Source organism: Homo sapiens, chromosome 4 (assembly GCF_000001405.40).
Source record: "Homo sapiens chromosome 4, GRCh38.p14 Primary Assembly".
NCBI classification, from domain to species: Eukaryota; Metazoa; Chordata; class Mammalia; order Primates; family Hominidae; genus Homo; species Homo sapiens.
The window spans coordinates 153,954,034-153,967,459 of NC_000004.12; the positions used below are offsets into that span (position 1 = coordinate 153,954,034).

General features: G+C 39.1%; 1 long non-coding RNA gene across 1 annotated transcript in view; it reads left to right on the plus strand.

Annotated features, from left to right (window-relative positions):
* The window catches only part of LOC101927947 (uncharacterized), a 469,997-nt gene that overhangs the window by 125,211 nt on the left and 331,360 nt on the right, over positions 1-13,426 (plus strand). The window contains exon 8 of the long non-coding RNA XR_007058336.1: positions 13,198-13,290. This is a non-coding gene — a long non-coding RNA (uncharacterized LOC101927947). The remainder of the gene's footprint in view (positions 1-13,197; positions 13,291-13,426) is intronic.

Genomic DNA, 13,426 nt, shown 5'->3' on the forward strand with positions numbered 1-13,426 from the left:
TTATTGTCTCAATAAGAGACATATTGAGACAATAATATTATTGTCTCTTGTCTATTATTATTGTCTATTGTTATTATTGAGATAATAATAATTAGACCCCCTCACCCTACCTCTGCTCAAAATAAGCTTTAGTTTATTCAGAAAAGCAAATTTAGCAACACCAATGAAAAACCATTTTTATAGTAAATTTTGTTAATCTCTAATGTATTTTCACACACATAAATATATCCTATTCTGGACCTAAATACATAGAATATAATTTTTACTTCTCTTTTGTCCAAGATGGAAAAAATGAAAGTAATAGTATTTTGAAAACTTCCCCATACACCTGCCATTCACTTTGTTTTTGTATATTCCTTATTGATGCTCATTGAGTGATCTTTGAAAGGCTAGTTCTTGATTATTCTTTGGTTTTCTAATTCGGTGAATAGTTGGTTTCACAACTGTGGCAGCATATCTTCTCTGTGTTAGTGGAGCCACTGAGATGACTCTTGAAAGAAAACCCACAAGGCTATCTGGTAGTCAATCCAAATGGAATAACTTTAATACAGACAGTGGAAGAGCCAGTAGAGATGTCCTCAGTCCTTGTTCACAGCCCTGAAGCTAAAGGAGTTTAAGGCTAATTGAAGTTTTGGAGGAGAAGAACCTAAAGTCCCTCACATATTGCAAGGTAGATTAGCAAAATGTCTGAAATGTATGGAATCTGGAACCAGACTACCTGGTTAGAATCTGGCTCCTGACACTACTGGTTATGTAACCCTGTTCTTCAATGCTTTCATGGGTAAAATGCATGTTCCAGGCTAAGCTGTGTGGAAGCAGATGATAAGGTGGAGTTTGGTGTGCAGGGCATTGATTAGAGATTAGGACATGTAAGAGGAAAAGGGAGGAAGGGAATTGGGCGAGCGAGAATTCAGTGATTCAGGCCTGACAATATAGGGAATAGCTCAGTGGGGAGTCCTGGAGTGAATATTGTCCATCGGTGTTACCCCAGGTCAGGCTGCAGTGGCCAGGTATGTCTTTCCCCAACTCATTCTGCTGACACAGAGTTCCTGTTTGAAGAACATGACTCTGGACAGGACAGCTAGGCAGTTGAGACAGACCCTGAAGGAGCTGGAGGCTACCTGCAACTGAGAAGTGAGTCCTTTTTTGGAGTGGGATCTTGGTGACAAATTTCCATGTCTATCAAAAATGCAAGTAATAATAATACCTACCTCATAGGGTTATGATGAGGATTAAGTGAGCTATTATCTGGAGAGTTCTTACAAGAGCTTTTGCTGCTATTATTGTATGTGCATATGTGTGTGCAAGTAAATGTATGCAATGCTTCTGCTCCATCAACAGAATCTTAGAGAATGATTTCTAGAATATAGTGAACTAAAGCAAGTGTTTCGACATCTCGTTTGCTCTCTCTCTCTGTTATTGCAAATTCTGCTGCTAGAAGCTCATGGGTTATTTTATGCATTACTTTGTTACACAATTCAGGCGGGTCTTGACTTCTTTGTCTTCTGGACATTATGAGTGTTACAAATCTTTTGAATCACCCCGGGCAGTCATGATATAAACCTTGGCCTGTTTTTCCTACTAGATGATAAAATGCGAACAGTAGGAGCCAAGCAGAACTAAGGAAGGATGTGACTTAGGTTGGGGCTCCTAGGGAATGTTGAACAAATTGTGAAAGGAAGCAAACAATTTTAGAATAAGTGTGATGTGGTGCTGAGAGAAATGTATATTCTGTTGATTTGGGGTGGAGAGTTCTGTAGATGTCTATTAGGTCCGCTTGGTGCAGAGCTGAGTTTAATTCCTGGATATCCTTGTTAACTTTCTGTCTCATTGATCTGTCTAATGTTGACAGTGGGGTGTTAAAGTCTCCCATTATTATTGTGTGGGAGTCTAGCAAATGTAAAAGAACAGAAATTGTAATAAATTGTCTCTCAGACCACAGTGCAATCAAATTAGAACTCAGGATTAAGAAACTCACTAAAAACCACTCAGCTATATGGAAACTGAACAACCTGCTCCTGAATGACTACTGGGTACATAACGAAATGAAGGCAGAAATAAAGATGTTCTTTGAAACCAACGAGAACAAAGACATGACATACCAGAATCTCTGGGACACACTTAAAGCAGTGTGTAGAGGGAAATTTATAGCACTAAATGCCCACAAGAGAAAGCAGGAAAGATCTAAAATTGACACCCTAACATCACGATTGAAAGAGCTAGAGAAGCAAGAGCAAACACATTCAAAAGCTAGCAGAAGGCAAGAAATAACTAAGATCAGAGCAGAACTGAAGGAGATAGAGACACAAAAAACCCTTCAAAACATCAATGAACCCAGGAGCTGGTTTTTTGAAAAGATCAACAAAATTGATAGACTGCTAGCAAGACTAATAAAGAAGAAAAGAGAGAACAATCAAATAGATGCAATAAAAAATGATAAGGGGGATATCACCACTGATCCCACAGAAATACAAACTACCATCAGAATATACTATAAACACCTCTATGCAAATAAACTAGAAAATCTAGAAGAAATGTATAAATTCCTTGACATATACACCTCCCAAGACTAAACCAAGAAGAAGTTGAATCCCTGAATAGACCAACAACAGACTCTGAAATTGAGGCAATAATTAATAGCCTACCAACCAAAAAATGTCCAGGACCAGAGGGATTCAAAGCTGAATTCTACCAGAGGTACAAGGAGGAGCTGGTACCATAACTTCTGAAACTATTCCAATCAATGGAAAAAGAGGGAATCCTCTCTAACTCATTTTATGAGGCCGGCATCATCCTGATACCAAAGCCTGGCAGAGACACAACCAAAAAAGAGAATTTTAGACCAATATCCCTGATGAACATCGCTGTAAAAATCCTCAATAAAATACTGGCAAACCGAATCCAGCAGCACATCAAAAAGCTTATCCACCATGATCAAGTGGGCTTCATCCCTGGGATGCAAGGCTGGTTCAACATATGCAAATCAGTAAACATAATCCAGTATATAAACAGAACCAAAGACAAAAACCACATGATTATCTCAATAGATGCAGAAAAGGCCTTTGACAAAATTCAGCAGCACTTCATGCTAAAAACTCTCAATAAATTAGGTATTGATGGGATGTATCTCAAAATAATAATAGCTATTTATGACAAACCCATAGCCAACATCATACTGAATGTGCAAAAACTGGAAGCATTCCCTTTGAAAACTGGCACAAGACAGGGATGCCCTCTCTCACCACTCCTATTCAACATAGTGTTGGAAGTTCTGGCCAGGGCAATCAGGCAGGAGAAAGAAATAAAGGATATTCAATTAGGAAAAGAGGAAGTCAAATTGTCCCTGTTTGCAGATGACATGATTCTATATTTAGAACACCCCATCATCTCAGCCCAAAATCTCCTTAAGCTGATAAGCAACTTCAGCAAAGTCTCAGGATGCAAAATCAATGTGCAAAAATCACAAGCATTCTTATGCACCAGTAACAGACAAACAGAGAGCCAAATCATGAGTGAACTCCCATTCACAATTGCTTCAAAGAGAATAAAATACCTAGGAATCCAACTTACAAGGGATGTGAAGGACCTCTTCAAGGAGAACTACAAACCACTGCTCAATGAAATAAAAGAGGATGCAAACAAATTGAAGAGCATTCCATGCTCATGGATAGGAAGAATCAATATGGTGAAAATGGCCATACGGCCCAAGGTAATTTATACATTCAATGCCATCCACATCAAGCTACCAATGACTTTCTTCAACGAATTGGAAAAAACTGCTTTAAAGTTCATATGGAACCAAAAAAGAGCCCGCATTGCCAAGTCAATCCTAAGCCAAAAGAACAAAGCTGGAGGCATCACGCTACCTGACTTCAAACTATACTACAAGACTGCAGTAACCAAAACAGCATGGTACTGTTACCAAAACAGAGATATTGACCAATGGAACAGAACAGAGCCCTCAGAAATAATACCACACATCTACAACCATCTGATCTTTGACAAACCTGACAAAAACAAACAATGGGGAAAGGATTCCCTGTTTAACAAATGGTGCTGGGAAAACTGGCTAGCCATATGTAGAAAGCTGAAACTGGATCCCTTCCTTACGCCTTATACCAAAATTAATTCAAGATGGATTAAAGACTTAAATGTTAGACATAAAACAATAAAAACCCTAGAAGAAAACCTAGGCAATACCATTCAGGACATAGGCATGGGCAAGGACTTCATGTCTAAAACACCAAAGGCAATGGCAACAAAAGCCAAAATTGACAAATGGGATCTAATTAAACTAAAGAGCTTCTGCACAGCAAAAGAAACTACCATCAGAGTGAACAGGCAAACTACAGAATGGGAGAAGATTTTTGCAATCTACTCATCTGACAAAGGGCTAATATCCAGAATCTACAATGAACTCCAACAAATTTACAAGAAAAAAACAAACAATCCTATCAAAAAGTGGGCAAAGGATATGAACAGACACTTCTCAAAAGAAGACATTTATGCAGGCAACAGACACATGAAAAAATGCTCTTCATCACTGGCCATCAGAGAAATGCAAATCAAAACCACAAAGGGATATGATCTCACACCAGTTAGAATGGCGATCATTAAAAAGTCAGGAAACAACAGGTGCTGGAGAGGATGTGGAGAAATAGGAATAGTTTTACACTGTTGGTGGGACTGTGAACTAGTTCAACCATTGTGGAAGACAGTGTTCCATTTCCTCAAGGATCTAGAACTAGAAATAGCATTTGACCCAGCCATCCCATTACTGGGTATATACCCAAAGGATTATAATTCATGCTGCTATAAAGACACATGCACATGTATGTTTATTGTGGCACTATTCACAATAGCAAAAACTTGGAACCAACCCAGATGTCCATCAATAATAGAGTGGATTAAGAAAATGTGGCACATATTCACCATGGAATACTATACAGCCATAAAAAGGATGAGTTCATATCCTTTGTAGGGACATGGATGAAGCTGGAAACCATCATTCTCAACAAACTATTGCAAGGACAGAAAACCAAACACCGCATGTTCTCACTCATAGGTGGGAACTGAACAATGAGAACACTTGGACACAGGAAGGGAAACATCACACACCAACGCCTGTAGTGAGGTGGGGGGAGAGGGGAGGGATAGCATTAGGAGATATACCTAATGTAAATGACGAGTTAATGGGTGCAGCACACCAACATGGCGCATGTATACATATGTAACAAACCTGCACGTTGTGCACATGTTCCCTAAAACTTAAAGTATAATAAAAAAAAAAAACCCAGAAAGGAAGCAAACAAACTTCTGTGCACTGAATCCTCAATTCAGACTCTGGGAGAGCAGGGGGCTCTGTAGGGCTGACTTAAATCAAGAAGCCTGGTGGTTAGGGTGCACAGAAGGCCCAGCCTAGCTCTGTAGATTGGCTGGCTTCTGAAATTCCAGACTCTGGTTCAAGTTTTACCTGTGCTTGTCTCAAATGCTGTAGGCTGAAGGAGCAAAGAACTTCACCCTTTGAAACTGTCTGAGGTTGCTTTTCAGATTGAATCGGGTAACAAAGGACTCACTCTCGTTGGCAAAGAACAGAAGATGTTTGCTTCCTGGGGCATAGTGGTTGGTACTAGGATATATTCATTTAAAGAATGAAGCTGTGAATAAAAGTTTTGATTTTGGAAGAGCTCACAGTCTGAAGAAAGGAGAGCACAAATTGAGAAAAATGTGTGCATAAAAATATGAACTTAAATGTGAACACTGAGAGAGTGAGGTCTACTTTATGGCTAGGTGAGTTCTGAAGGTGTTTTTGAGAGGAGGCTCTGAAGAGAGGAGTCTGGGAAGACTATGAGTAAAGTAAACATTTTGAAGAACACTTTGAAGGAGGGAAGGAGATCATGACTTGTTGAAAAAGAGAACCCCTTAAGAATACATGTTTCTGAGTTCCTTATACAGCTGAACCTTGGACAACACCATTGTTAGGGGTAGTGACCCCCACACACAGTAAAAAATTCATGGATAACTTTTGACTCCCCCAGAACTGAACTACTAATAGCCTACTGTTGACCGGAAGCCTTACTAATAACATGAACAGTGGATTAACAAGTATTTAGTATGTTATATGTATTATATATTGTATCCTTATGATAAAGTAAGCTGAAGAAAAGAAAATGTTATTAAAATCATAAGAAAGGGAAAACATATTTACTATTCACCAGGTGAGAGAGGATCATGGTAAGTTTCTTTATCCTCGTCATTTATGTTGAGTAGACTGAGGAGTAGGAGAATTTTTTATTTTGATTTTGCTGTCTCAGGGGTGGCAGAGGTGGGGAGATGGAGGAGGTGTGAGGGGAGACAGGAGAGGCAGGCACTCTCGGTATAACTTTTATTGAAAAACATCCATGTATAAATGGACCCATGCAGTTAAAACTTGTGTTGTTTAGGAGTCAACTCTATGCAGAAATCATATATCTGTCACTTTGGTATCCCTAGAACTTTACATAGCATTTGGTACATGGTAGGTCTCAAAAAATGTAGGTTGAACTGAGGGCAATCACTCAGGCTACTGCATAGGGGATGGGTTGCAGTAGATGGGGACAAAGGCAAAGAGAGATGTGACCATGAGCCAAGGATAAGAGGTCTAGAGAGGGCATGGCTAGGACACCAGGAATGGACAAAGGAAGTCTAACACGTGTGTGGATCTGTGTTTCCCAATCAGGGTCTATAGATACCTTCTCAAGGCCCAGCAAGTGCTCCCTAAGATTTTGAAAAGGCTGCCTTTTCTTTTTGATCATCTGAATAAACCATATTGTAACTAAACCTGCTGTATGATTTAGATGCTGTATTTTCTTTGTATTTGTAGTTGAGAATTGGCACCACGTAATTGCCAAAATGACAGCATTTAACGTTTAATGTGCTGTTAGGCACGCCTGGTTGCCACTGGGTTGGTTGCTCCTAAAGTCAAAATCATAGTAACCGTTCTTGGCTGCCACTGTTCAGCAGATGACTGTTTACCCAGGAGTCTGAACACTAGCAATGCTCAAAGAACAAAATTGTCCTAAATGACTTTAAAATACATATTTTAAACTCTTTATGTAACAGTGATGAGCTCTGGTGCATTTGCTCCTGTGGATGCCTGGGATTCAGGGGTCCAGACAGCATAGGGTATCAAGGAGGTGTGAATGACTAAATGGTCACTATAGAATAATAGCATTTTCCCTACAACCCCCTTGTCTCTGGCTTTCTGTCTAAGATTGAGTTGTGGTGCTTCTGGGATATTCATTATTTTGGCAGGTAACAGCTAAGCAAAAGTGCTAAAATGTTAAGTTGAAATTTGGCAAATATATTTTACATATCCCATTGTTTCTTCTAAATGCTGGAAAGAAAAAATAAGGGGATGAGTATATGAAATATTGGGGTGGAGCAGTGTTTTCCATCCTTGTGTGCTTTTGGAATTAAGACTCTAGAAATATAGGGAATCCTGATGAAGCTATAAACCAGGACATGCAAAAAAAAAAAAAAAAAAAAAAAGACCAGAGTGTGAAGGTCAAATTTTAAAAATCAGTTGCAAAGGCACAATTTCTCCTTTGCAGTGAAATTTGCTCTCAGAAGGAACTTTCATAGAGCAAAATTTTGGTTCCTTGAGTATTTGATATATGGACTTGTTGATTTGGTTTGCAAGAAAATGGGATGGTGTGGCCGAGTGATCTATTGTTAAAATGTTGAAGCTTAATGAGAAAAGGAAAGGGTGGGTTTAATATGTAAATGATGTGATTGTACCACATGATATTATAGTTCATTATATGGAGGAAATGTTTGCAGTTACTGGAATACAGACAAAAGGTTGTAGAATTGGGTTATTATGTGGTAAACGGTGGCATAGATAGGCTGAACTCAAATGACGTTGGTTAGTAGCAGTTAGTTTCATAGAGTCCCTTGTGAATTGTGTTTGGTTTGGGCATGTTAATATTACCTGGTTCTTTCAGAATTATCAATATACTGAAGTGTGTAAGTGTAATCCATGTGGTTAGCTACTTTTGTCTGTTTTATTTATCACTGTACCTCTAGCACTTTCGACAGTATCCGGTACATAATAGATACTCAATAAAAACCTTTTGGAATGAATAAATTAAAATTTTATTGGTTTTATACTTTCATTGTGTTTAGTTCATAGATTTGTTTTTGTTTTATGATTGCATAAGAACTTTATGCTTAAGAACTTTAAACCTAGTTCTACATTGTGCACATTGAAATGAAATTAAGATAGTTAAATTCAACCAGCGTCTGTGAAAGTGTTTATTTTTATTGGTGTGTATATCTTACTTTAGTTTGTCAAGTACTGCAATGGAGCAGGAGTAATCAAGTTACAAACTCTGTGTTGCGTGTGTTAGAGGGGAAGGGAAGTAGAAAGTGAAACAAAAGAAAAGAGAAAAGGAGAGAGCTTAGACATGAAGCCAAGACGATGAACCTCAGGAGTTTCCAGGGACTGACATCATTGCTTCTGTAGTGGGTTAAATATTCCCCACCCCCCGCAAAAGAATGTGAAACCAGAATTGTGAAGGTGACCTTATTTGGAGTAAGAGTTTTTGCCATTGTGATTAAGGCAAGGATCTAGAGATCAAGTCATCCTGGATGAGGAAGGGCCCTAAATTCACTGATGGGTGTCCTCATAAGAGAAAAGGAAGAGACACAGAGAGACACAGAGAGGAAGGCCATGAGAAGAAGAAAGCAGAGGTTGGAGTGATGCATTTACAAGCTCAGAAGCACCAAGAACTATGGGCAGCCACCAGATGCTGGAGGGAGTAGGTCCTCCCTCAGAGCCTCCAGAAGGAACCAACCCTGCTGACGCTTTCACTTCACACTTCTGGCCCCTGGAACTGTAAGGGCATACATTTCTATGGTTCTAAGCTACCACATTTGTGGCAATTACTGCCCTAGGAAGCTAATACAGCAGTGGGATATTGAGATAAACAGAACCCATCCCTAGAACTGATGAAACACTAATATGCTTGCTTATTAATAAATAATTTATTTTGTTATAGAAGTTTTTAAAATATTGTGTCTCCTAAGTGGATTCACATTTGAGAAGCTCTGCACAAAGTCCTTTAAAAACCACCCAGCTCCCACAAAGCAGATTTCTGACACGAAGGACTTTTTCCCTTTGTCCAGAGCCTCAGTTAGTGCCCTACACCCCCACCTCTCCATTGATCACACATTGGCTTGAGTGTGCTCATGCACTCCAGGCAAGGCTCCTCTTTCATTGTTCCTCTCCTTTGAGGTAAAGAAAGAGCAAAATGAGGTGACTGGTTTGCTAAAGGAGCTATTCCAAATGATTATTGCTAACACCCAAACCCAAAGCCAGATACAATCCCATGAGTCATACTTGACTAACATTATAATCGGTTCACGGACTTAATAATTGTCACATTTCCGTGTGTTGTCTTCTAATCATTAATCTCTTTCTGCATGTGAGGAGTACTTTCCAGTGTGGCTGTCCAGAAGTTAAGACTTGAAAAGAGTGTATTTTCTCTTTATAGAAGTTTTAAAATTCAATTTAAAAATATTTCCAAATATGCCCTGAATATCTAAAATATCAAATAATCATTGAATAAGTGCCACATCCATGAGGGTTTTTTTTCTTTTTTTTCCTGGCAGGAAGATACATAAATTAGATCAGCATGGGTCCTGCAATCTTCTTTTGAGAAACCTGTACATTCCTTTCCTGTCACAATGGCTAGAAAAGGCACTTTATATTCCACATCCCAAATAGAGCCTCGGGTTTAGAAATGCTAGTGTTTTCATCTGCTTAAATCAGAGAGGACTCTGAAGGGTGGGGAAGAAGTATTATTTTTCATTTCAACCATTTTAAAGAATTAACTTTCCAGAAGAACTTTTGTTCCTATGATAAACCTAATTAGACCTACTTATTCATTTGAAAAAAAAAAGAAAAAAAAAAACTTGGAAGAGCCAAGAATCTGTCAGCTCCATAATAGTGGTTGACCAAGCTCTGGCATTGAACTCTTGCAAGATTTCTGCAGGGCGAGAGGACTTTTGGAGTGGAAGCAAGTCTTACAAGGAAGCAAACCTGGGGCGACAAGATCTGGGCTTGACTCTGTTGCTAATGTGCTCTGCAGTCAGGGAAGAAAGGTTTCATCTCTGAATTTAATTTATCTGTTAGGATATTTCCCAAAGTGAAACTGCCTTCTCCCCTAACCCAAAGGCAAGTGGACTGTCTTGCAGCAAAGCAGCCCGCAGTGGAGGAGAAGCTTAAGAGATGCCATGCACATATTCCTGAAGCTGGGTGTAAAGGAACTTGAAACGTTGAATGTTTTCAATGGATTGGCAAGCTTGGTATTGAGGCGTCTTCTGTGTTTAATCTGTGGGTGAAATAACTACCTTTTGTATTATGTTTTCACACACAATAAAACCCCTGGATCAGGAGGCCGAGGAGGCAGGCTGCATAGCAGAGAGACAGCTCCACGTGGGCTCAAATCCTACCTCTCTCTCTTCCTAGCTGTGTGACCTTAGAAAAAAGACTTAAGTCACCTGACTATTCTTTCAGTTGTGAAATGGTCATAGCTATGGAGAATTCAGAGAGTTGATGCTGGGGATGAAACAAGTTAGTGTGTCCAGATGCCCAGCATGGTGCTTGGCCCCAGGGTGGTCCTCTCCATGAAAGCACAACAACAAATTCTCATCTCTCCATTCTCTCACCAAGTGAGCATCCCCCGGTCCCTCACTTAGGTTCCTTATATCCTGGCACGTTTAAATATTACTTCATTTCTAGACTTAGTTAAGATTTGGTTTGGCTGTAGGTCATAGAGGCCCCAAATATCAGCAGCTTAAACTGGATAGGAATTGATTTCTCTGTAGTAGAAATCTGCAGTAGACAATACGGGTGATCATTCTGCTCATGAGTCCTGGGGGACCTGGGCAACTGCTCTTTTGTTTCTCCCTCATGCAAGCCTCTCATCTCATTTCCCATCTTCAGTAAAAGAATAGAAGAGATTGCAAAAATTTTCTCCCATTCTGTAGGTTGCCTGTTCACTCTGATGGTAGTTTCTTTTGCTCTGCAGAAGCTCTTCAGTTTAATTAGATCCCATTTGTCAATTTTGGCTTTTGTTGCCATTGCTTTTGATGTTTTACACATGAAGTCCTTGCCCATGCCTGTGTCCTGAATGGTATTGCCTAGGTTTTCTTCTAGGGTTTTTTATGGTTTTAGGTCTAACATTTAAGTCTTTAATCCATCTTGAATTAATTTTTGTATAAGATGTAAGGAAGGGATCCATTTTCAGCTTTCTACATATGTCTAGCCAGTTTTCCCAGCACCATTTGTTAAATAGGGAATCCTTTCCGCATTTCTTGTTTTTGTCAGGTTTATCAAAGATCAGATAGCACTCACTGGGGCCTGTTGTGGGGTGTGGGGAGTAGGGAGGGATAGCATTAGGAGATATATCTAATGTAAATGACGAGTTGATGGGTGCAGCACACCAACATGACACAAGTATACATATGTAACAAACCTGCACATTGTGCACATGTACCCTAGAACTTAAAGTATAATCAAAATATTTAAAAAAAAGAAGAGAAGAGAATGTGGCCAAGAGGCAAAGGAAGTCAGATGTGAGAACTACGAGTAGTGAGTTTTGATAATTTTTGAGTCCTTTGTAGTCCTTGAGGCCAACTCCACCCCAATATCTCAGTTTGATATCTCCAACAAGTCTGTGTTTTGCTTCAATGTGAGTTTCTGTCATTGCAACTGATTGACTCATGACAAATTTATGCCTCTAGTTCAAAACTCATGGGAAGCACTGCTCATAGACCTGGCTGTGAGTCTGGGCTAAGTTAAAGTACTTTGGTTTTAAAACTAACATTAAAAAAATTAAAAATCATATCACCTGTAAATGTACTAAGCAAGTTTATCATTTTAAAATGTAAGCTTAGCCATGAGGTTAGGAGGATGCAGTGTGGCGCCAGGGTGCCTTGGTGCAAATCTGAGTCCTTTCACTTAACTAGAGGATGATTCTGGCAAACCACTTCATCTGTCAGTGTCTCAGAGAGATGCTAACCAATCTATCTCACATGATTGTTCTGAGGATTAAAGGAATTAATATCGGTACAAGTTAAAATAGTGCTTGGATCATATCAGCTATAAGACTTTATAAGATACTTGTATAAATTACTAAGATCTGTTTTGGGGGCTCTCAGTGCAGGCAGAGGCTTAAATTAATTTCACTCTTCTGTTTGTGGAAAAAGTAATAACCATTAATTAGTTACTTTACAAAAACTTTACTGGTAATTTAAAAATATTTTTAAGTAACTACTCTAGAATTTACCAACTTAATATTGCCAGATTTTAATATATTGGGGTTGCTTCACACAAGATAAATCTACACACTTAGAATTAAAATATGGCACAATTTCCCTGATAAAATATGGCATGGTTTTATTTTGCTATAAAAGTATCCACAGAAATCCAGTATTATGGATGGAATGCAGCTTTTGCAAGCTATTTTATCATTGCCATTACCTTTTCTTTCAGTAATATTTTATGGAGGCTTATTTGGAAAGCTGGGGTTGAGGAGTGTTACAGGCCATAGCTGGTACTTTCACAATAGCAGGCCTGGTGAATTGAGAATGATGAAGGCAGCTGACTCTGCAGATAGTGAACAGAGCTTGAGAAATTATGAAGTATCAGGATTCCAAATCAGTAAAAGAGCTGGACTCCAGTGAGGAGATATTAATAATTAGGTTACATTAATAAAATCTGTATCTGGCCAACTGACACTTTCTGAATCTCATTGAGGAGGATGTCAACTGTGTGATATGTCCTGGAATTAAACATAATCTGGGTGCATGTTGAGAAGGTACACCAGTTCTTGGTTAAATATGTGTAAAACTCTCAAGACTCAGCAAGGGAAAGATAGCCCAGAAATGTACACTTAAATGTTAATGCTTCTGCAAAGAATTGCAGATCCTCATACAAACATCTAAATGAACAACCTCTTAGCCTTAGCTCAGGCAGCATCTGCGTTATCATTAGTAAGGGATTGCCCTGACCTGCAACGAGAGTCTCTCGTAATATTCTCACAGCTAGTTGTTTTCAATTACTTCAACTTTTTCCCAAAACCAAGCTGCAGAATGTCAGAGCCTGAGACAACTGGAGCAATCCTCTTCACTCCTTGCATTATTTTACAGATGAGGGAATGGAGGCTTAGAGAGGAAGAATGGTCCAAGATGGTGCAGCAAATGGCAGCCTCAGGAAGAGGATCCTGACCAGTTCCCTGAAAGGTCATTATTAGTAATTATTAGTAATTACAATCATTATTAGTAATTAAAACAGAGGGGCAGTTTTCTCTGTGATGTGATTTGCATATGACCTACTAGCATTATTTGCAGATCCTACTGAATCAGTAAGTCCAAGGAA